The 22,980-nt window shown below is 46.6% G+C and overlaps 1 protein-coding gene and 1 pseudogene across 3 annotated transcripts in view, besides 6 other annotated features; both read left to right on the forward strand.

The window, feature by feature from the left end:
* Window positions 1-22,980, forward strand: part of RGS9 (regulator of G protein signaling 9) — a 90,334-nt gene that overhangs the window by 33,595 nt on the left and 33,759 nt on the right. For 2 of the 3 annotated variants that reach the window (NM_001081955.3, NM_001165933.2), the window contains exons 9-12: window positions 6,768-6,830; window positions 18,322-18,351; window positions 19,211-19,272; window positions 22,579-22,692. In NM_001081955.3, the coding sequence (NP_001075424.1) occupies window positions 6,768-6,830; window positions 18,322-18,351; window positions 19,211-19,272; window positions 22,579-22,692 (269 nt within the window). Of the gene's footprint in view, window positions 1-6,767; window positions 6,840-18,321; window positions 18,352-19,210; window positions 19,273-22,578; window positions 22,693-22,980 lie in introns of all 3 variants that reach the window. The other variant, NM_003835.4, reaches the window with a different exon arrangement.
* Window positions 1,986-2,779: an enhancer, noted in NCBI's record as "H3K27ac-H3K4me1 hESC enhancer chr17:63169068-63169861 (GRCh37/hg19 assembly coordinates)". NCBI's record gives its function as "activates a minimal SCP1, AML or CMV promoter by ChIP-STARR-seq in naive H9 embryonic stem cells {active_cell/tissue: H9 hESC(naive)}" and the evidence as "EXISTENCE:reporter gene assay evidence [ECO:0000049][PMID:30033119]".
* ZNF848P (zinc finger protein 848, pseudogene) lies at window positions 5,464-6,560 on the forward strand (annotated as a pseudogene).
* Window positions 10,321-10,370: an enhancer, noted in NCBI's record as "active region_12609". NCBI's record gives its function as "activates an Ori minimal core promoter by ATAC-STARR-seq in GM12878 lymphoblastoid cells {active_cell/tissue: GM12878}" and the evidence as "EXISTENCE:reporter gene assay evidence [ECO:0000049][PMID:35858748]".
* Window positions 12,314-12,850: an enhancer, noted in NCBI's record as "OCT4-NANOG-H3K27ac-H3K4me1 hESC enhancer chr17:63179396-63179932 (GRCh37/hg19 assembly coordinates)". NCBI's record gives its function as "activates a minimal SCP1, AML or CMV promoter by ChIP-STARR-seq in primed H9 embryonic stem cells {active_cell/tissue: H9 hESC(primed)}" and the evidence as "EXISTENCE:reporter gene assay evidence [ECO:0000049][PMID:30033119]".
* Window positions 12,851-13,387: an enhancer, noted in NCBI's record as "OCT4-NANOG-H3K27ac-H3K4me1 hESC enhancer chr17:63179933-63180469 (GRCh37/hg19 assembly coordinates)". NCBI's record gives its function as "activates a minimal SCP1, AML or CMV promoter by ChIP-STARR-seq in primed H9 embryonic stem cells {active_cell/tissue: H9 hESC(primed)}" and the evidence as "EXISTENCE:reporter gene assay evidence [ECO:0000049][PMID:30033119]".
* Window positions 14,491-15,014: an enhancer, noted in NCBI's record as "H3K4me1 hESC enhancer chr17:63181573-63182096 (GRCh37/hg19 assembly coordinates)". NCBI's record gives its function as "activates a minimal SCP1, AML or CMV promoter by ChIP-STARR-seq in primed H9 embryonic stem cells {active_cell/tissue: H9 hESC(primed)}" and the evidence as "EXISTENCE:reporter gene assay evidence [ECO:0000049][PMID:30033119]".
* Window positions 15,015-15,538: an enhancer, noted in NCBI's record as "H3K4me1 hESC enhancer chr17:63182097-63182620 (GRCh37/hg19 assembly coordinates)". NCBI's record gives its function as "activates a minimal SCP1, AML or CMV promoter by ChIP-STARR-seq in primed H9 embryonic stem cells {active_cell/tissue: H9 hESC(primed)}" and the evidence as "EXISTENCE:reporter gene assay evidence [ECO:0000049][PMID:30033119]".

Genomic DNA, 22,980 nt, shown 5'->3' on the forward strand with positions numbered 1-22,980 from the left:
GACAGGCTCAGGAAGCCCCGGAGCTCACAGGCTGCCAGACTGTCTCCAGGAGACCCAAACAAACCGTCAGTTCAATGGGAAAAAAGCCAGCCAAGGCAAACAAAGCACTTGGCGCCGTGGAGTGTCGCGGCCACTCCGTGTCAGACTGTAACCAACAGTTGTAGAGTGAGACGTGGCCTGCTGTTACTGAACCGACTCATTCACTTGTTCATTTGTCTGTTCATTGATCCATGAAATCTTCGTTGAGCCTTGACTTTGTCCCAGGGAAGGGGTTAGGTGCTGGGTGTGAAATAACAGCCAAGAGTCATTGAGTACTCCTCTGAACCTGTGTTAAGCTCTTGGCACAGATGACCTCATTGACGCCTGATGCTATGATGTAGGGAATATCACCATCCCCGTTATTCAGATGGAGAAATTGAGGCTCATAGAGGTTCAGTAGCCTGCTCAGTTCTGGGAGAGGAAGCCACATCTTTCTGATGGTAAAGCCCGATATTCTGCTTCTGTGCAAGGAGGCCCCACCCGTGGTCCCTCTCTCAGCTCAAGGAGCTCAAAATCCAAATTGCTGGAGCACAGGTGAGTGACACTCTCCCAGAGATAAGACCTAATTGCAGAAGGGGCACAGCGAGAGGGTGATTGATTTAGAAAGGCAGGGAGAAATGTCTGATAGATGGTGTTTCAGGGAGATCATCACTGGCAAAGGCCAAGACCCCACGTGGGTGGTGGTAGTTGAGGGCTCTGACCTGAATTCCTACCCAGAGCCCAAAGGACACCTGTGATTCAGCATCCTGTAATGAAGGAAAACGATGTTTCTCACCTGTTTTTTACTCAAATGGAACCAAGTACAGATCTGAGCACGATGCAAACAACAGTGAGTTTTGTAAATGAACAAAGGGAGAAAGTGCTCCCTTAGACAGGCATGTGGAGGCCTTCCCTGCATCTTTGCTGTGCCATCTGTGACTTCCTGCCTCCCAAGGATGTAGTCTGAGGCTGCTTCCTGGCGGTGGGTGTGCTTATCTGCTTATCAAGCTAAATGACCCTTGTTTCAACCACATATGCAGACACTTGCCAGAGATGTCTGCCCTCCATTTCCCATCGAAGTTAGGCTAAATGTCCAACAATGGAAAATGGCAAAATAAATTGAGGTATATTAACATGATGGAACATTGTGAAGCTATTCAAATAATATTTTCAAAGGCCATTCATTGATCTAGGAAAATGATCTGACATACAATGTGTTTTTTGTTTGTTTGTTGTTTTTTGTTTGTTTTTGAGACAGAGTCTCGCTCTGGGGTGCAGTGGCATGGTCTTGGCTCACTGCAACCTCTGCCTCTTGGGTTCAAGCAATTCTCCTGAATCAGCCTCCTGAGTAGCTGGAATTACAGGCGCCTGCCACCACACCTGGCTAATTTTTGTATTTTTAGTAGAGACGGCGGTTTCACCATGTTGGCCAGGCTGGTCTCGAACTCCTGACTCTACCTTGGCCTCCCAAAGTGCTAGGATTCCAGGCATGAGCCACTGTGGCGGCCTGACACATAATGTTATATTATAAAACCAGGGTGGGTGGAATGCTCCATGTGCCATGGTCCAAAAATAAAAAATAAAAAAAATTAACATATATTTTGTGAATATCTGCTCTATGCCGGGTGCTTACTAGGCATTGGGGATATTTGGATTATGAGCCAAGACAGACATTGCCCGTGACCTCAAGGAGTTTCTTGCAGTCTGGTGGAGAGACAAAGACTAAAATGATTAAACCAATGAATGAGTAACAAGCAGAATGCCATGGCAGCTGGTAGGAGGCAGGGGCTCTGCGTCCGGTTGGGGGTCAGGGAACACAGGACACAGGACGTGGAGAGTGACATTCAAGCCAAGATCCTCTAGGAGCTGACTTTCCTAACACAGCAACATAAAATTGTCTCCCTGTTTCACCTCATCTCTATTTCTTTTTTCTTTCTTTCTTTCTTTCTTTTTTTTTTGAGATGGAGTGTTGCCCTATTGCCCAGGCTGGAGTGCAATGGCGTGATCTCAGCTCACTGCAACCTTCGCCTCCTGGGTTCCAGCGATTCTCCTGCCTCAGCCTGCCGAGTAGCTGGAATTACAGGTGTGCGCCACCTCGCCTGGCTAATTTTTTGTATCTTTAGTAGAGATGGGTTTTCACTGTGTTGGCCAGGCTGGTCTCGAACTCCTGACCTCATGATCTGCCGGCCTCAGGCTTTCAAAGTGCTGGGATTACAGGCATGAGCCACCGCGCCTGGCCTCATCTCTATTTCTTTCCCCTGTCTTATTTTGTTTAGAAAACGAGTTAGTGTTTTACTTAGTATTTGTTTTCTGTTCCATGCACCAGAAGAGTCTGATATTTTTGGGAAGAGAGTGAAGCTGAGAGAAGGAGGGGCAGGGGGACACGGTGGAGTACCACCGAGAAGTGTCCGTCAGCTCCACGCTGGCCTTGCTCTGTATGTGGGTTCCTGGGAACATCGCCTCCTCACGAGCAGTTGTCACGAGTACAGGAGCTCCTTTCCTGACCTGAATGATGATGCATTGAGCAAATTGCCTCTTTGGCTTACACCCAAGGGATGTTGTTTGTGGGGGGCGGGGTCATACCCTGGTGTTCACAGTTCCTCAGGGTGGAGGAGGGGAGCTTGCATGTCTCTGAAGGCTTCCTGCATGAGGCACCAGGGCAGAAAGTGCCTGCTGCCTCCTTATCTGCGGGCCACACACCGCAGGATGCATCGGCTGCCCTTATTTCCTGGGCGCTGACAGTCAGTTCTGGTTAACTTCATCTGAACACCCTGTTATGTGCCAGAAACTGTGTCAGCAGCACTCTGGTGATGATCATAGTGGGTCAAAGACTTTACACTACCTGATGAATGAAGAAATGGATGAATGAAAGGAGCTTGGGAGTCTCTGAAACCAGCAGAGGCAGAAAGGCAGCCCTCTCACCAGTTTCGAGGGCAGGGAACTGGAAAAGGACCACAGCTTGATTGGGAACAACTGAGACTTAAGGGCTGCTGCCCACAGAGGTGCAAGAGCCGAGGCAGCAGTGGCCAGAGGACTGTGCCTGGCTGTTCTGTAGGGAAGGCATGGAGAGCCAGGTTGGGGCTGGAACTGGACAGGCTGGCAGAATCATGAAGCCCAGTGGGTGGCTGCAGGTCTGAGAGTCTAAGGCCGTCTGGTCTGGGCAGCTGAGGGCATAGAGGACTCTATCTCAGTTATGCAGTGCACTGTTGAGCACTGGGGCAACCAAATTTATATCAGAGCCTGGGGCACATTGGAAGGAAAGAACTAGATAACGAATTCAAGACTTGAGCAGATGACCACACCGAAGTCACCGAGGCAGTGAGCGCCTGTGGAATAGCAGCCAGACACTGGTTGTAGGGCATCATGAGCACAGGCTGTGTGTGAGTGTGAGTGCATGTCAGTATGTCTGGGTGTGCATGTATGTGAGTGAGTGTGTGAATGTATGTGTGCGAGTGTGTGTACATGTGTGCATGTGTGTGAGCATGTATGTCAGTGTGTTGGCGTGTCAAGGTGTGCATGTATGTGAGAATATGTATGTATGTGTGAGAGTGTGTAGATGTGTACATGTAAGTGAGCATGTATGTGAGTGTGAGTGTGCATATGTATATGTGAGTGTGCCTAGGTTTGTGCATGCATGTAAACATATATGTGTCAGTATGCACGTGTGTGAGTGTGTGAATGTGTTATGTGTGAGCATGCATATGTGTGTGCATGTATGTGAGCATGTTTTTGTGTATTCATTCTCATAGTGTTATAAAGAAATACGCAAGACTGGGTAATTTATAAAGGAAAGAGGTTTAATTGACTCACAGTTCTGCATGGCTGGGGAAGTCTCAGGAAACTTACAATCATGGCGGAACGGGAAAAGGCACATCTGACATGGTGGCAGGCGAGAGAGAGCGAGTATGTGAAAGAGGAACTGTCAGACACTTATAAAACCATCAGATCTCATGAGAACTCACTATCATGAGAACAGCATGGGGGACACCACCCCCATAATCCAGTCACCTCCCACCAGGTCTCTCCCTCAATCCCTGGGGATTATGGAGATTACAGTTCAAGATGATATTTGGGTGGGAACACAGAACCAAACCATATTAATGTGTGTGTGTGTGTGTGTGTCAGGACATGTGTGTATGTGAGTGTGTGTGAGTGTGCATATGTACATGTGGGAGTATGTGTAGGTGTGTGCATGTATGTGAGCATGCGTGTGTGAGTGTGCCAGTGTGTCAGGGCATGTATGTATGTGAGCATGTGTGAGTGTGCATATGTATGTATGAGAGTGTGTGGGTGTGTGAGTGTGAGTGTGAGAGTGTGTGAACGTGCCAAAGTGTGTGTATGAAGTCTGCCTTCAGTTATGCAGGGGGATTTCTCCATACCAGATTCAGGGGGCAACTCCTAGAACCCTTTTTGGCAAAGGCACTGACTCTGCTGAGCCCCTGCCATGTGAGGTTAGATCCCATGGTGTTATCCCTTCAAGACACCTGTCTCAACTCTAATTTATCCTTTGTGTGATTAATTGCTGAGTGGCTACCTCCCCCTTGAGACTGGGAGTGCCTCAGTAATGCCTGCTGGGGAGCAGTGGTCTCGGGGCACACTCACCATGGGCTCCCCAGGGCTCAGCACAATGTCCGGCACATAAGAAGTGCCCCATAGATATTTGCTGATCAAGATCCACTTGTAACAACTAGGGTAAGGATGGCCATTCCCTTTCCCTGTCCTCCTCCCCACCCACTTTCTATTGCCTTTTCCTTTCTCTTCCCTGTGTCGTCTTGTCTGCACATATTTGCCTCCATGGTAGCCCGGTGAGCTAGGTTGCTAGATTTAGCAAATAAAATACAGGAAATTTGGTTGAATTTGAATTTCAGATAAACAACAAATAATTTTTATGTAAAATGTATTTTGTATATTTAGTATAAATATATAATAAGCATCAAAATATTGGGACAGAAATTATTTGCCATTTATCTTAAATTAACTGGGCTTCCTACATTTTATCTGGCAGTCTTACATCTGAGCTAAAACCCAGTCTGATCCCATGGATGAGGCTGAATTTGATGGCAAGAAAGCCCAGTTGCTTCCCAACTCTCTGCTTCAGTGTAGCCAACCTGGTTGGTCACATGTGCTGAGCAATGGGTGGATGCCTGGCATCACACCTGCATCAGGGGAAGTGAAAGACCCAAATTATTGGTCTCAAAGAGTCAAGGAGTTGAGAGAGACCAAGTAAGATTTTCTGGAGAGCTGGGTTACCTGCTGGCAAAGGGAACTAACAGAGATTACAGTCCCAGTTTTGGGCCATTCTTTTACATATGTAATCTTAAAATGAATACAACCCCTTGCTCAGCAATAGCTACCTTCTGTGGAGAGCTTCACACCCTATCTTGTTAAATCTTCACAAGAACCTGCCACGTAGGAGGATTCTTCTCTGTTTCTTAGAGAGGTTAGTGAGTGCCAAGACAAGGAGTGTTTTCCAAGATCTTCTGCACAGCTGGGAAGTGGCAGAACCAGGAGTGGCACCCAGACGTGCCTGACAAGCCTGGACTTTCCCAAAGCACTGCTCTGTCACTTCACTTTTCCCGCCAAGCCCAAGATGAAACCACAGAGTGTGGGGAAGGAGCACTGTGGGAAGAGTCAGGAAGCCCATGTATTAGTCTCAGTGAACTCTTTTGGAGCCTGAATGTTACCCATCCATATGCCCACTCACTCATCCATCCATCTACTCACTCAACCATCCATCCATCCATCCATCCATCCATCCATCCATCCATCCACCCATCCACCCATCCGTCTATCTCTTCACCTATCCATTCACCATCCATCTACCACAAATTTACCCATTCATCCATGCATCCATCCCTCCATCTATACATCCCACTATGGTGCTGAGTTTGCCATTCATCTGTCCATCCATCCATCCATCCATCCATCCATCTCTTCACCCATCCACTCACCATCCACCTACCACCCATTCATCCATCCATCCCTCCTTCCCTTCCTCCATCCATTCGTACACCATTCCATTCCTTCATCCATCCATCTCACTATGGTGCTGGGGATGCCATTCATTTGTTTGTCCATCCATCCATCCATCCATCCATCCATCCATCCATCCTTCCATCCCTCCATTCATCCATCTCACTATGGTGCTGGGGATGCCATTTATCTGTCCGTCCATCCATCCATCCATCCATCCACCCATCCATCCATCCGTTTATTCACCCACCCACCATCCACCTACCACCCATTTACCTATTCATTCATCCATCCACCCATCCCCCTCTCCTTCCCTCTTTCCTGCCACCCATCCAACTCTGGTGCTGGGAATGCCATTCATCTGTCTGGCCATCCATCCATCCATCCATCCACTCACCCACCCATCAACCATCTACCCGCCACCCATTTACCTATTCATCCATCCACTTATCCATGCATCCCACTATGGTGCTGGGGATGCCAACCACCTGTCCATTTTTCCATCCATCCACCCACCCACGCATCTACCCATCCTTCTCTCCCTCCATCCTTCCATCTCACTATGTTAGGTGCTGGGGATACTGGGAGGCATAACAGCCCTCATGAAGCTCAACAGCTCACCTGGAGGGTTTACACCCACTCAAAGCTTCCCATGGGCTAGGCCACAAGCTCTTCTCAGCTCAATCTCACAATTGGCAGATTAACCAAGACCCACAGTTAACCAGAAACTGGAGACTCTCCCTGTAATGACCTTATGTTGTTTTTATTCCATTTAGCCTGGAATGGACAATGTGCTGGACTACGGCCTGGACCGAGTGACCAATCCGAATGAAGTCAAGGTAAACCAGGTATGTCTCTGCTGCATAGTTTGGGTAGGGCCTAGGTCGGATTCTGGGGCTGGGAAGGTGTCCACATGTCTATTCGTGTCTGTTAGGGCAACGATATCTCCTCTTTGAGACTATCAAAGAGAGGAGGACCGTGGGCTCTGTGGACTCAGGGTTAGGGGAGAAGTGGGACCATGGCAGGATGCTAGGTGAGAAGAAATTACGACTGAAGACAGACAGAGGCTGTAGAGTGCAGGGAAGAGCTAATGGGATCTAGATGGCTGGTTTTCAAACTTTTCTGAGTCACTTCCCCCTTCGAAAATCTGATGAAAGTTATGAGCTCATTCCACTCAAAGATGCACAGACAGACATTCTGTACACAGTTTCAGCCAGTTCCTTGATCCTGAGGAGACTGTAGACCCCAGCCTCGAAACTCTTGAATCAGTTTTAGATTTAACCTTAATCCACATGACAGGACCTGGAATCTAACACTTTCTTTCACATCCCAGTGGAGTGGGATCTTTGTAAAGATTCTCCAAGCAGGTTTCATTAAAAAAAAATACCTTTCCTCAAATAGGCCATCTTTCATGATGGATAGCCAATGTCCTATGAGTATTTATTTATTTATAGAAATACAGTTCATAAGCTGTTGAGCCCATGGCCCTATTGACATTTTGGGCCAGATAATTCTTTTTTTTTCCTATTTATTTATTTATTTATTTATTTAATTCATTTATTATTTGAGACAGGGTCTCACTCTGTTGCCCGGGCTGCAGTGCAGTGGCATGCTCATAGCTCACTGCAGCCTTGACCTCTTGGGCTCAGGTGATCCTCCTGCCTTAGCCACCCAAGTAGCTAGGACCACAGGCACATGCCACCGTGCTTGGCTAATTTTTGAAATTATCTGTAGAGACAGTGTCTTTCTATGTTGCCCAGGCTGGTCTTGAACTCCTGGGCTCAAGCAGTCCTCCTGCCTTGGCCTCCCAAAGCACTGAGATTACAGGTGTGAGCCACTGTGCCTGGCTCAGATAGACAATTCTTTGGTGAAGCTGTCCTGTGCATTTTAGAATGTTCAGCAGCATCCCCAGCTCTGCCCATGAGATGTCAGTACCTCCATTCCTCTCCCTGCCCACCTAAGCCCCAGTCCTAACAATCAAAAATGTCTCCAGACATTGCCCATTGTACCCTGGGAAGGAAGTCAACATTACTCTGGCTGACAACCACTGATTCCAATGAACCATCCTAGACCCATTTAAACAGATCTTAGGTAGTTTCATTGCTTTCTGTCAAACATTGTCTTTGGGTAGCAAGGGTGTCATCTCTAGCCTAGGGTGCATCTATAGGGCTCTGCAGAGCCTTAAGGCATGAGTGGGGGCCTGTAGGGGTGTGCAGGGGAAGGAGGAGGGTGGAAGTGGGAGGGGAAAGAAAAAGGAGCCAGAAATGTTAGCAAGGCAGCTCTGGGACAGTGTTTGCTTTTGCTCCCTGGAGAGGGTCACCGGGGGAACCATTAGGTCTCTTGTCCACAAGCTGGAGAGACCCTTCCTTTGATACACACAGGGCACAGTCAGCCTTAACTCAGCTGTTCCCAGGGCAGCCTTTCCCGTGTTCCCCTTGCCAGAGAACAGATCACTGCTGAGGCCTTGTAGGCTTGGTTGCCATGGAAACAGAATCCTCGAGTAAAAGATTGAACCTGGGTGGAAGGGTTGCTTTTTTTTATGGCTAACTAGCAGCTCTGGAAACCTCTTTCCTGGGGAGGAGAGAGAGGGTGGAGGCAGAAAGCACATCACTCATTCTGAGATGGGGGGGTGGGAACAAAGGGTCACCCATCCGTGACCCAAGCCAGGATACTGCTCAGCTGTGTGTGTGTGTGTGTGTGTGTGTGTGTGTGTGTGTGTGTGTGTGTTGGGGGTGGTTAGGCAGGACCTTAACTTCATCCATTTGAGAGGGAAGCTAAGGAGCTGAGCTGCTCCATCCTGGGGGTGACTTCTGAGGAGGGTGACCAGATTACTGTCTTTACTGAGGAGGCATCTTTGTGCTCCTTGGCCTTCAGAGCCCACTTCCTGCGGATGTGGATGCTGGCAACACCCTCAGCCCAGAACCCAGTGGGCAGGCTGGGTGTACGACAGAGGGTGCCTTTGCCATGGTGGGGTGTGATACGGGCTGTGTCTCCGCTGTTTACCGTTATCTTCTCTGTCTCTCTCTCTCTCTCTTCCCAGCTATCTATCTATCTCCTGTCTGTGCACTCTGGCTGCTGTGGAATAAAGTATTAAGAAGAATAAAGAACTGCAATTCTCATGCATGCAGAGCCCCTTCCAGCCCTCCCCTCAGGCAGCCCCAGCATGCTGTGGTTTATCTGTCTGCAACATTTTCCACTGTCTGCGAGTCCCCTGTGTTCCCGGGTTAATCTGCCCTGAGAGAAGAGGGTTGCCAAGAGCATGAAGCATCTCCATGAAGACCTGGGAGTGCAGAGGCTTTGGATTTTTGTCTCACTTCAGAGAACTCATGGTGCCTGAGCTGGTTTGAAGAGAGGTCATTTTGAGAAGGAATCGATCCTTCTTTCTTTTTTTCTTTTCTATTCTTTTTTTTTGAGACGGAGTCCTGCTCTGTCACCCAGGCAGGAGTGCAGTGGCGTGATCTCGGCTCACTGCAACCTCCGCCTTCCGGGTTGAAGTAACTCCTTGCCTCAGCCTCCAGAGTAGCCGCGATTACAGGTGTGTTCCACCACGCCCAGCTAATTTTTTCATATTTTTAGTACAGACGGAGTTTCTCCATGTTGGCCAGGCTGGTCTTGAACTCCTGACCTCAGGTGATCCGCCCATCTTGGCCTCCCAAAGTGCTGGGATTACAGGCATGAACCACTGCGCCTGGCTATCAATCCTTCTTTTTAAACTTTTATTTTAGGTTCAGGGGTTACATTTCAGGTAAACTGCATGTCACCGGAGTTTGGTATATAGATTATCTTGTCACTCAGGAAATAAGCATAGTACTCATAGGTAGTTTTTCTATCCTCTCCCTCCTCCCACCCTCCACCCTCAAGTAGGCCTGGGTGTCTGTTGTTCCCTTCTTTGTGTCCTTGTGTACTCAATGTTCAGCTCCCACTTATAAGTGAGCCCATGTGGTATTTGGTTTTCTGTTCCTGCGTTAGTTCGCTTAAGACAATGATCTCTAGCTCCATCCATGTTGCTACAAAGAACATGATCTCATTTTTTTATGGCTGCATAGTATTCCATGGTATATATGTACCACATTTTCTTCATCCAGTCTACCAATGATGGGCATTTAGGTTGATCCCATGTCTTTGCTATTGTGAATAGTGCTGCAGTGAACATAGGCATGCATGTGTCTTTATGACGGAATGATTTATATCCCTTTGGGTATATACCTAGTAATGCGATTGCTGGGTCAATGGTAATTCTATTTTAAGTTCTTTGAGAAATCACCACACTGCTTTCTACAATGGCTGAACTAATTTCATTCCCACCAGAAGCATATAAGCTTCCCTTTTCTCCTTGCCAGCATCTGTTATTTTTTGACTTTTTGATAATAGCCATTCTGACTAGTGTGAGATGTTATCTCATTGTGGTTTTGATTTGCATTTCGAGAATGAGTAAATTCTTGAGAAGATGTATCTGTTTTCCCCAAATAGAGGCAAGTAACCGTCAACCATAAGGAGGAAAGTCATTAGGTTGGCAGGTGTCTCGGGCCCTGGGTGGCCCACTCCCACTGGCTAATGGCAGCTGGGAGGGACTGGCCAGGGGCCGGGACCACACTCTAGAAGTGAGTCCTCTTTTAGCTCCAATACCTTGAGGCATACGGAACCCCCAACTCCTGCACCCCAGGAGGTGATGGGGGCAGGGGCCGCTCATGGCAGGATCACTGCCATCATTTAGGGATGAGGGCAGTGTCGGGTGCTGAAGAGACCCTTGACATTGGCCTGAGCCCCAGCTCTGCCACTTCCGGTCCATGTGATCTTGGGCAAGCTCTTTCTTGAGCCACAGTCTCAGTTTCCTCATCTCTAACAGGGGAAGCATGCTAGTTCCTTCATCAGAGGATTAAGCAGGATCACTTATGTGTAGTGTCTAGAATGCTAATCAACACGTAGAGACACTCCACACACAGCTGGTATTATTCTAAATGTTGTCATGCTATGAGAGAGAATTTATGGGACTTGTAGACCTCAGACTCCATGTTAGGGTGCTGTACCTAGCCAATTTCCTCTTCTGCCTTTTCACCTTCTCATACTTCTCCCCTGGTTAGAGGTGGAAGGAGGGGTTACATGCCAATTTCAACCTCTCTGCCTACTCCAATAAGCAGCTGCTCAGAACCTCAGTCTACACTGGCGAGTATACAGATCTTTTGGTAAAAGGCAGAAATATGGCCTCCCAGTATAAAATACTGTGCTCTGCAGAGGTGCTCAGCCTGGAGCCCTCACACACCATATGCTCCCGCCAATAGGGGACAAACTTCTTTCTTCTTGTGGCTTCTGTGTGACCATGCCTAGCTGAGGGAAGGGAAGGGGCTGATGTTTGCTGACAGCTCCCTGCGTGCCAGGCATGGACCTGAGTGCGCCACCCTTTGTAACGGCTCAGCTAAGACTCACTACTGCGTTAGAAGGTAGATGGCCACGTTGACCTCCGTTTCACGGTTGAGAAAGCAGGCCGAGAGAGAGGGTGGCTCCCCCAAGGACACACAGCTGAGAAGTGGTGAAGCCAGGATCTGAACCTCAGCTGATGGCCGCCAGAGCCCACTCCACATCCTGCCTGATGTTTTCTAATGTCCTTATTGTGGCTTTTAGAAGTTTTTCTGCATTTCCTGAAGTCCATTAACAGAGACAATGTCAGTTTCCTTTTTCACATGAAGAAAACAAAATAGAGAGACATAGCCGTTTGCCCAAGGTGACCCAGCCAGGATTCAGTTACGTGTTTCCAGTTCTGTAGCTCATGGGCCTCCCTGATCCAACCGCTGCTCCCCTCTCCACCCCACAAGGCCTACGTCCTGCACCCAGGGCCGGCTTCATGGGCAGGGGGCTTGTACAGCCGCCCAAGACCCCACCCTCAGAAGGACCCTTGTTTGATTTAATGTTCTGTTACCATCTCAGAATTCCTTACACTTTTTTTCTGAACAGTGAACTGCATTTTTATTTTGCACTGAGCCTTGCAAATTGTAAGCAATTCTACCTCTACTTGATGAGGTCGTACCTGGCTGGACGGCTATTTACTTCACATGATCGCAATCTTAAATCCAAGACTCCTTAGACAGCTGCACCCCCTTAATTTTTTTAAATCTATCTATCTATCTATCTATCTATCTATCTATCTATCTATCTATCTACCTACCTACCTACATACCTATCTATCTATTTTGAGACAGTCTTGCTCTGTCACCCAGGCATGAGTGCAGTGGCACAATCTCGGACCACTGCAACCTCCGCCTCCTGGGTTCAAAAGATTTTTATGCCTTAGCCTACTGAGTAGCTGGGATTACAGATGTGTGCCACCATGCACAGCTAATTTTTATATTTTTAGTAGAGACAAGGTTGTGTCTTTTTGGCCGGGCTGATCTCAAAATCCTGTCCTCGAGTGATCCGCCTGCCTTGGACTCTCAAAGTGCTAGGATTACAGATGTGAGCCACCACGCCTGGCCTTTATTTATTCGTTTTGAGACCAGGTTATAAGACTAGCTAATTTTTGTATTTTTAGTAGAGACGGGGTTTCACCATGTTGCCCAGGCTGATCTTGAACTCCTGGGCTCAAGCGATCCACCTGCCTTGGCCTCCCAGGGTGCTGGGATTACAGGTATGAACCACTGCACCCGGCTCCATCTCTTTTCTTGCCTGCTTAACCACTTGTGTTTCTGGATCTCCGGGTTTCTGACTTTAGACCCCCTCTCTGCTCTCAATGCCAGTGCTGCCCGATTCCTCACGGTTCTCCCCATCTCGCCTTTGGCTCCGTGGCTTGCTTGGCCCCCCACCTGAGTTTCTCTGCAGATACCTGCCTGGCTACCCCATCCCAAGGTCCTTGCTTATTTCTCCCCTGCACTCCTGCCGGTGGCCTGACCCCTTCTGCCCTGTGCCAATTGTCTGCACCCTCCATCCGGGGTTTGCCAGTCAGCCGGCCCAGAGCTATGTAAACAACAAGTCTAGATGTGTCCCTATTTGGGCAACTCTGCAAGGGAAAAATAAGAAGTTGTTAGAATGCTAAGAATGCAGAGCATCCGGAGATTCCTTAAGCAGAGTCTTCCTCCTGTAGCAAAGTGTGTCGCTGAGATGAGGCATAAAGAAGTGGCTTCACTCCAGGAGGGCCGGCAGCTGAGAAAGGAGGGAAGTTGTGTGTGAATGCCAGGCTGGAAAAAAACTCTTATTTCTTATTTTATCATGAGGTGGTTTTCTTTGAATTGCTTAGAATTGTGCGTACTTTTTTTTTGTAACAACTTCGTTTTAACATAATGTTTCTTATTGCCTTTGGCTAAGATATAATAATATTGATAGTAGGTTTGAAAGACTTAGCAAATAAAAATACAGGATTCCCAGTTATGTTTGAATTTCAGATAAGCAATGAATATCTTTTTTTGCATAATAGGTCCCAAATATTGCCTGTGAATCCTGCATTTTATCTGATGAGGGCTTAAATTGTGCCGCTCACGTGCTCAGTGGTGGTGTAGTAGCCCTAATGAATAGGCACTGTGTGTGGGTCTCTGCTATGTGCCAGGGACCTTATGTCTATTATCGCATTTAGTCCCTCTTTTTTTCTATTCTCCTTTTACGAATGAGAAATTAGAGGCTCTGAGATGCTGAGCAACTCATCCAAGGTCATAGCCAGGAAGTGGTAGGACTAGAATTTTAACCTTTGTCCGATCCCCAAAGCCCATATGCTTCTATTTCTTTTTTTCCTTCCTTCCTTTTTTCTCTCTTTCCTTCCCTCCTTCATTCTGTCTCTCCCTCCCTCCTCTCTCTTTTCTTTTTTCTTTTCCTTTCCTTTCCTTTCCCTTTCATTCTTTGTTTCTTTCTCTTTCTCTTTCTTTCTTTCTCTTTCTTTCCTCTCTCTCTCCTTCCTTCCTTCCTTCTTTCCTTCCTTCTCACTGTCTCTCTCTCTCTCTCTCTTTCTTTTTTGAGACAAGGTCTTGTTCTGTCACCCAGGCTCCAGTGCAGTGGTGCCATTGTAGCTCACTGCCACCTCAAACTCCTGGGCTCAAGCAATCCTCTGTCCTCAGCCTCCAGTAGTTGCTGGGACCACAGGCATGTACCACCATCCATACTCTTTCCTGAATCTCTTCTCCACCACTCCCTCCAAATCAATTTGTCTCTTCACCTTTTAAAAAGTTCAGGACTCTTTTCTCTCACTGTCCCCTCCCTGTACACACTCCTAGAAGAGCAGAGATCCCTGTATGTTAATCTAGAGGAAGCAGATCCCATGGATGGCTGCTTTTTCCAGGTTCATAATTTATTGTACAAATTGAATTATCACATGACAAGTCGACATGAGCTTCTCCAGGCATGAGAACTAAACGGCTGAGGCACAGACAGTTTAGAATCCATTATATTGCTTTCACAGATGGAGTTTTTTTAGATCTTGACTTGAAGTGAAAGATCATCAAAGCAATGCCTCCATATGTGGCCAGTACTCAACTCACTGTACTTGTGAGCGTCTAAGAGTTGAAATGCATTTTAACGCCTGGAATTGGGCATCAGTTTCTGGACCTGCCATGATTTCAATCTAGCCAAAGCCACACATTCCACAGCCACTGTCCTTCAATGTACGCAACCTGGACAGCTATTTTTAAAGCTAGAAATACAAGCTAAATTCATGTGGACAATCCAAGGTAGAGGTGGGAAAGTCTCACCTTCAACCAAATCCTATTAATGGAGAGCAAGCTGCAGTTCCATTCCCAGAAGGTAACTGGTAATTCTGGGAATCAGAAAACAAAATAGCAAACTACAGCACAGAGGCAGAGCCCTAGGGAGATAATAAAATCAAATGAAGTGAACAGGAGTATACAAATTGTAAACCCCCGAAGACTGAGATAATGGCCCTAGAAGCAAGTATAGTAAGCCAAAGGGAGACCCCCTAGAGGCAGAATGGAAATGAGCATGGCAGAAAGTCCTGCAAATACAGCTCCCTGCAGGGCCCAGAGAACACCAGGCAGCCAGGATGCATCTGTGTGCGTCCACTCAGGAGCCCTGTGCCCCCATGTTCTGGCCGCAGAACAGTGGCCGACAGGCAGAAAGCTTGATGCTGGGGTCTGGACACCTTGGAGGTGCTTATGACACTGGCGGCTGAGTGTGAGCCCAGCACGATTCTGCACCATCATGAGTGTTAAGGACAGAGTGTTTCTGGTACTTGTATTTTGTCTTGCGTTACGGCTCTAGTTCACTTTTGGTTTACATTTTATTTATTTATTTATTTATTTATTTATTTATTTATTTATTTATTTATTCTGAGATGGAGTCTCGCTCTGTGGCCGAGGCTGGAGTGCAGTAGCATGATCTCGGCTCACTGCAGCCTCCACTTCCTGGGTTCAAGCAATTCTCCTGGGTCAGTCCCGCCTCCACCCCACCCCCCACCAAGTAACTGGGATTACAGGTGTTCATCACCATGCCCGGCTAATTTTTGTATTTTCAGTAGAGATGGGGGTCTCACCATGTTGGCCAGGCTGACCTTAGATGATCAGCCTGCCTCAGCTTCCCAAAGAGCTGGGGTTACAGGCGTGAGCCACCGAACCCGGCCTTGTTTATGTTTTAAATTAAGTGACTGGACAGAGTCATTCCATCCTGTAGCACTCTCAGCTTCAGGGCAAGGAAGGAATGGGAAGAGAGCAGGCTAGGAGGAAAAAGTGAACAGGATCAGCGATTTTGTGTTTCTCAACAATCGCTCTTCAGCTTTGCAAAGGGAAGAGCTGAATTTGAATCCTGGCCCATCCAATTACTGACCAGGAGGTGTTGAGAAGTTTACCCACAACCTCTCAGAAGCTTTGTTTCCTCAGCTAAAAATTAGTATAATAAAATCTCCTTACCTTAAGCTTTGTAAAGACTCAAAGAAGTATAAATTGCTTTGCAGTAGTTGCTAGGCAGTTATCATTATGTAAAAGTACAGCTCCCCCTTTGAGCAGAGGGCATAAACCAGTAGATGCTATTCTGAATAACCCACTCCAGCAAGGCTCCAACAGAAGGAAGTAATTATAAAGTATTAGATTTGAATGTAAGTCCACTCTGGCCCCAGGGTCCTTTTCTACCTGAAATGTGCATCTTCTAAAACAGTGCCTTAGGTTGGAAGAGAATGGGATCAAATAAGTATGACTGCCAATGCATTTGGATCATTTGGGGAGTGCTTTCAATTTTTTAGTGGAAAAAAATGCTATTAAGCTTAGAAAATGTCCCCATTCTTCTAGGCCCCCAAGCATGCTGAAGTCATCATTTATTACACATTTACTGAGCATCTACTCTGCATCGGACATTGTGCTAGGGAAGATAGACCTGGTCCCCTGCCATTAATGGTGCCTTCATGTTGATTCATACATTAAACAAAGAGTCACACAAATAAGGATAAAATTCAAATGGCGATCAGTGCTATGAAGGAGGAAGTCAGGGTGTATAAGAGCCTAAAACTTAGAGAACTACGTGAGCCTTACCTTTCTGAGATAACTCTTCCTAATCCCCTATGCAGGAAAAAGATTTCTTGTGAAAAGCAATGATAGAAGAGCAATCCGGGGAAGCAAAATGAAACCCAGCCTGAGTTAGAAAGGAGAGACCAGTACATGACATTCTAGACTGGACTCTCCTTTACTCCTTTTCAATGGGCTCATGGGCCAGTGTTTATTTTGCTGACTGCCTCAAAGGAAGTAGTGTCCTCCTCAGACTTAACCACTCTTTTCCAAGTGAAGACTTGGGTGGGTTAAGCAGCATGGATATTAACAAGGCAGGAATTAAGAGGGTCCGCGTGAGGCCGGGTGCGGTGGCTCACGCCTGTAATCCCAGCACTTTCGGAGGCCAAGGCGGGCGGATCACGAGGTCAAGAGATTGAAGTGATCCTGGCCAACATGGTAAAACCCCGTCTCTACTAAAAATACAAAAATTAGCTGGGCGTGGTGGTGTGTGCCTGTAGTCCCAGCTACTTGGGAGACTGAAGCAGGAGAATCACTTGAACCCTGGAGGAGGAGGTTGCAGTAAACTGAGATCACACCATGCACTGCAGCCTGGCAACAGAGAGAGACTCTGTCTCAACAACAACAGCAATAACAACAACAACAGCAACAAAAAGAGGCTCCTCTTGAAGTATAAGAGTCAGTACCAGCCAGCCCCTGGACACAACCAAACCTAGAAGAACTGAGGCTGGGATCACCACCTTGCCCAGTCTCCAGGAGTTACATGGAGCAGAAAAGTGGTGCAGAGGAAGCACGGCCCACTGCAATTGCAGATCTATGTATTTTAGCCAGAGATAGATCTGAATGGTTTCCAGGAGCTTCTAAGAGCCTGAACATGAAGCCCCTCTTGGAACTGTCCTTTCTTTCTCTGCCTTAACTCAAAAAGTTGAGAGGGGACACCCTGAAGCTTATCCCCAGTATGACCCTGCTCCAACAGCTTCAGCAAGGGGATGGGGCCTGATTCCACAGGGCAGCTCAACTCGGGGACTCAGCTTGCAGTGCATGCTGGCCTCAAGCCTTTCCATTATGTGCTTTATTTTTGGTAACATTGGTTTAGTTTTCAACTTATATTATTGGTCAAATTGTTATGACTACTTGGGGAATGCATCTCACCATTGCTTCAGAGCTCTCCCCTGTAACAAAAGAAACCAACACCCAAGCTCTGTGCTAGTTTTTCTATCTCTTCTCTCTTTCTCTCTCTCTTTTTTCTTTTTTGAGACAAGGTCTTGCTCTGTTACCCAGGCTAGAATGCAGTGGCATGATCATAGCTTACTGCAGTCTCAATCTCCTGGGATCAGGCAACCCTCTCACCTCAGCCTCCCAAGTAGCTGGGACTACAGGTGCACGCTACCATGCCTGGCTAATTTTTTTGTACTTTTAGTAAAGACGGGGTTTTGTCATGTTGCTCGGGCTAGCCTCAAACTCCTGGGCTCAAGCGATCCTCCCTCCTCGGCCTCCCAAAGTGCTGGGATTACAGGCTTGAGCCACCGCACCTGGCCTTCCCCATTTTTCTCTTAATCCATATCTCAGACAGGAATCTGTATCTCTCACTCTACAGATCATTCTGTAGGCACTATGCTAAACTGACACCAGTTTCAAATTTAGTCCTTAATTGATCTTGGCCTTTAGGTGAGCAAAGTTACAGTGGTAAATTACGCTCCTTCGCTTACAAAATCTCTTGCTTGGTATTTATTCCCCAGGGGTTACATAGAATAGAGTGGAGGCAGTAGACATGGAGAAATCCTATCTTTTAAGAAAGAAAAAAATGGGCATTTTTCTCATGGGGAAGGATTTTTATTTTTCAAATGGGTGTTTGAACTGTAATGATTTCATGACATCTGCCTAACGGTTTTGTTTCTTTGTCTTACAGAAACAAACAGTCGTTGCTGTCAAAAAAGAGGTAATTAGTCTTACACTTCCAGTGAAGAATGGTTTTAAATCTTCTAACAGGTTATATGTACTTTGTTTTACCCTCTGCGCTTGGTAATGAAATGAAAACCACGTGCAATGTTCAAACAATTATTTCCAAATTCACGGACAGCACAGAGTGACGAAGCATCTTCTGTAAGCTCTGGCTGGGGCTGGGGCTGAGGCTGGCACTCAGGGTCTGAAAAACCCCTCGAAGGCACAGAGCTGAGGGGTGGCCAGAGAGGACTGTGGAACCAATGCTGCAGGCTGCAGAGACTCTACATCCCCAACGTGGCCCCTGCACCTATCATTACAGGGCCAGAATCTACCCAAGGTGGCAACTGCCTATTTTGGCAAATCTTATGTCTGGGGCCCAAGACAGAGTCCTGGGAACCATGGGGCATTGAGCTGGGGTGTACGGTTAGCTATCTGAACGTGGAGGAAGGTGGTTGAGGAGGGGATAACTTGCTTTGGCCAATGCTGCAGAATCAGGAAGTTTAAGGATGTCACCTGTGGTGGGGACCACTCTCTGCTTCTGTCTGCCAGAGACATGTGAGGGAAAAGCCAAGCGTTTGTCCCCGTGTCTCAGTTGAATGCTCCTTAGAACTTTTTTTTTTTTCTGCTGATGCTTTTTCCCAGACTAATACATAATGGCTGAAGGAGGCCACTGATTTGAAGTCTGTGGTCATCTGTCCACTGTGGGCCTGACCCACTGGTACTGAGGGGGCTGGCTCTGGGCATGGAACGGGATGTGGCTCTGGGTAAATGGCTTCTGGGTTTGGAGGCTGTGTGTAGTGACACTGAAGGGTGGGAGGGGGTTGAATACCTTCTAACAACTGTGTCTCTTCCAGATCATGTATTACCAACAGGCCTTGATGAGGTCCACAGTGAAGTCTTCTGTGTCCCTGGGAGGGTATGTCCCTGATTTGTTGATCTTGCTAAAGTCTGATGAACAGGTAGACAAGAGGAGAACTTCTGCAAACTCGACAAGTCCTGGGCTGACAGACTGAAGATTCAGCAGAACTGTGAGGGACAAAACCAGTCTCTTGGGGGCTTAGTTCCTAGTTCATCCCTCAGAATAAACCTCCGGGTCTCATCTTGGGTTATGCAAAATCGAGCGTAGGTGAGGTTCTAGAAAAGACTGTTATGTTTCTTGGAATCCACTAATGTGTGGATGGGGAAGTTAGAAAGAGTTGGAAGTCCGTGGACTGTAGACCCTGTGAGGATCCAAGACAGCCTGGGTTCCTATCGTTACTGGTTCCAATTCATTAGGAGTGTGTGAGTCATGTTTACTGGTTCCATGTGCTACTAAATGTCCATTGTTCATCTTTGATTTAAAATCCCATTAAGATAAATTGGACATTTATGTTTGATTTATTGAACTTTCTGGCTACCTTGACCCAGCCCCCCATAGGACATCATCTAGGAGACAAGAAAGAGCTGAGTGCTGCCTCCCACGTGCAAGCAGTTATTCTTTTAAAATGCGGAATTTATCTTAGGACTGCATTTCTAACTCTGGGATTTTCCTGCACACATGAAAATAAACTTGGCTTATTCCTGGGAGGCACGATGTGACTAATCATGTATTCTGACTGTGTAAGACTCAAGTCATGGTACTAATCGGGACTGAAGATGCTGTTTTGTTTAGTGCCTTCCTTCAATATGTTTAAGGGTTGGGCTCTTGTAAAAATGTTTTACATCTTCCTATGTCCCCAGTTTGCAAAAATGCCATCTGCCTGAGAAAATATGCCCTGACCCCACACACATTTCAGTGACTCTGCTGCTGCTAAGCCCTGATCCCAGCTGAGGAGGGCACCTGTGTACTCAGGGGCATTCACTTTGGGTTATAATAATCATCATTGTTCAGTGATAAACTCAAAACCATTTACTTCCGTGTTCCATAAACCCAGTTTCATGAAACCAAACAGAAAGAAAATGGAAGGAGACCCAAGGATAGTTCTTAGACCCAGTTTCCAATTTTTATTTGTCTCAGGACCTCATTACCGTAATTTTGACATCATTAGTGTTTTGACCTGTGAACCAGTTTTTTTTTTTGTTGTTGTTGTTGTTTTTTACCTCCAGCTTCTCCACTGGTAAATGTCTGGGCCCGTCGAGGTGCCTCATGCCTGTAATCCCAGTACTTTGGGAGGCTGGGGTGGGCAGATCACCTGAGGTCAGGATTTCAGGGCTGAGGTCGGGGCGGATCACCTGAGGTCAGGAGTTCAAGACCAGCCTGGTCAAAATGGAGCCCCGTCTCTACTAAAAATACAAAAATTAGCCAGGAATGGTGGTGTGCCCCTGTAGTCTCAGCTACTTGGGAGGCTGAGGCACAAGAATTGCTTGAACCCAGGAGGAGGTGGCTTCAGTGAGCTGAGATAGCGCCACTGCACTCCAGCCTGGGAGACAGAGCAAGACTTTGTCTCAAAAAGAAAAAAATAAAAAAGGTCTGATTGTCGACTAAGAGAGTCTCGGGAGAGAATAAGCCAGGGGGCTTGAGTTCTGAATAGAATTGCAAACCCAGTGCTTGTCTCTAAGGTACCAGTGGTTTATCTCTAAGGCATGGATCCTGTTCTGTCCAAATCTTATGGCTGAGGGAAGACTTCAGGGCAGGTGCATTTCACATTCACTGTGGACACAATTCCCCACCTACGGGGAGGAGGCACAGCAGGTTTTCAATACCCAGACAGCAGGAAATGCATTGACTCAGAAGGTCTGACTCAACTCAAGGGAATTAGCTTTTTTTAGAAAAGTTTTTTAAATTGACACATAATTGTACATGTTTAGGGGGTACATAGTGATGTTTCAATACATACAATGTGTATTGATAGGATCAGGGTAATTAGCATATCCATCATCTCAAACATTTATCATTTGTTTGTGTTGGGAACATTCAATATCTTCTTTTCTGGCTATTTGAAAGTATATAAAGTAAAACAGAGGTTACTACAGACTGGGAAGGGAAGGGGGAAGGGGAGATAGGGAAGTATTTGTTAAAGGATAAAAAATTAGGCCGGGAGCGGTGGCTCACGCCTATAATCCCAGCACTTTGGGAAGTTTCAGGCAGGAGGATTGCTTGAGTCTAGGAGTTGAAGACCAGCCTGGGCAACATAGTGAGACCACATCTCTACAAAGAATAAAAAAAATTAGCCAGGTGGTGGCACATGCCCGTGGTCCCATCTCATCATGACACTGACGTGGGAGGACGGCTTGAGCTGGGGAGGTCAAGGCTGCAGTGAGCCATGATTGCATCACTGCACTCCAGCCTTAGTGACAGAGCAAGACAATGTCTCAAAAAAAAAAAAAAAGTTACGAAATTACAGCTAGATAGTGTTCTGTAGCACTGAAGGATGACTGTAGTTAATAATAATACAGTATGTATTTCCATAATAGCTAGAAGAGAAGGAATTAGCTCTTCCTCCAAATAGTGTGTTTGGACCAATTAAGCCCCAGGTTTAAATAATGGGCCTAAGTTTCCAAACCCAGGCATTATCCTGAGAAAGGGTAGAACCCAACATGGCAAGAGTCTTGGAGTCTGTGGCAACTTTGGGCTTCTAAGATGGGTGCAGAGACACAAGTTTGAACACTCCAAGTTGGTTTGAATCTAAAAACCTATTGATAAAATATAAACAGGCCATATTTTAATGAAATAGATACAGAAAGGCCGGGCATGGTGGCTCACACCTGTAATCCCAGCACTTCGGGAGACTGAGGTGGATCGCTTGACCCCAGGAGTTTGAGACCAGCCTGGGCAACTTGGCAAAACCCTATCTCTACCAAAAATACAAAAAAAAAAAAAAATTAGCCTGGCCTGGTGGTGCGCGTCTGTGATCCCAGCTACTCAGGAGGCTGAGGTGGGAGGATTGCTTGAGCCTGGGAGGCGGAGGCTGCAGTGAGCCAAGATTGTGCCACTGCACTCCAGCTTGGCTGTCTCAAAAAAAAAAAAAAAAGAAAAAAAAGAAAAAGAAATAGGTATAGAGGAATGACAGAGGGACTGGATGGAAGACAATGTTTCATTTCACAAGTAGAATTGGGACTGATTTTGTCAAATACCTGCCAATCCCAAGGGTTATTTGATTTGAGGAAATTTCTAGGAAAACAGTAATAAGTATGTCACCAAATCGATACAGGAAAAGAGGACAGCCTGGTCAGTTGACCTGTGTATTGATGTCATATCTTGGGTGTCGAGCTTCTAGGAAATCATTTTCTGTTTCCTTTTCAGGATTGTGAAATACAGTGAGCAGTTCTCATCCAACGATGCCATCATGTCAGGCTGCCTCCCCAGCAACCCCTGGATCACCGATGACACCCAGTTCTGGGACTTAAATGCCAAATTGTATGTATTTTATATATTGGTGTTTTTTAAAAAACCGTTTTTGAGTTACAATTCACATGCCATAAAATTCACCCCTTCAAAGCATACAGTTCAATGGTTTTTATTATATTCATAGAGCTACAATCAATTTTAAAACATGTTCATTACACAAAAAAGAAACCCTGGACGCCCTCCAGCCTTAGGCAACTATGAATCTACTTTCTGTGTTTACGGATTTGTCTGTCTGGACATTTCCTATCAATGGCATCACTTGGAATCTGAGGAATGACAGAGGGACTGGCTGGCAGA

The sequence above is a fragment of the Homo sapiens genome, chromosome 17 (genome assembly GCF_000001405.40).
Source record: "Homo sapiens chromosome 17, GRCh38.p14 Primary Assembly".
Lineage (NCBI taxonomy): Eukaryota > Metazoa > Chordata > Mammalia > Primates > Hominidae > Homo > Homo sapiens.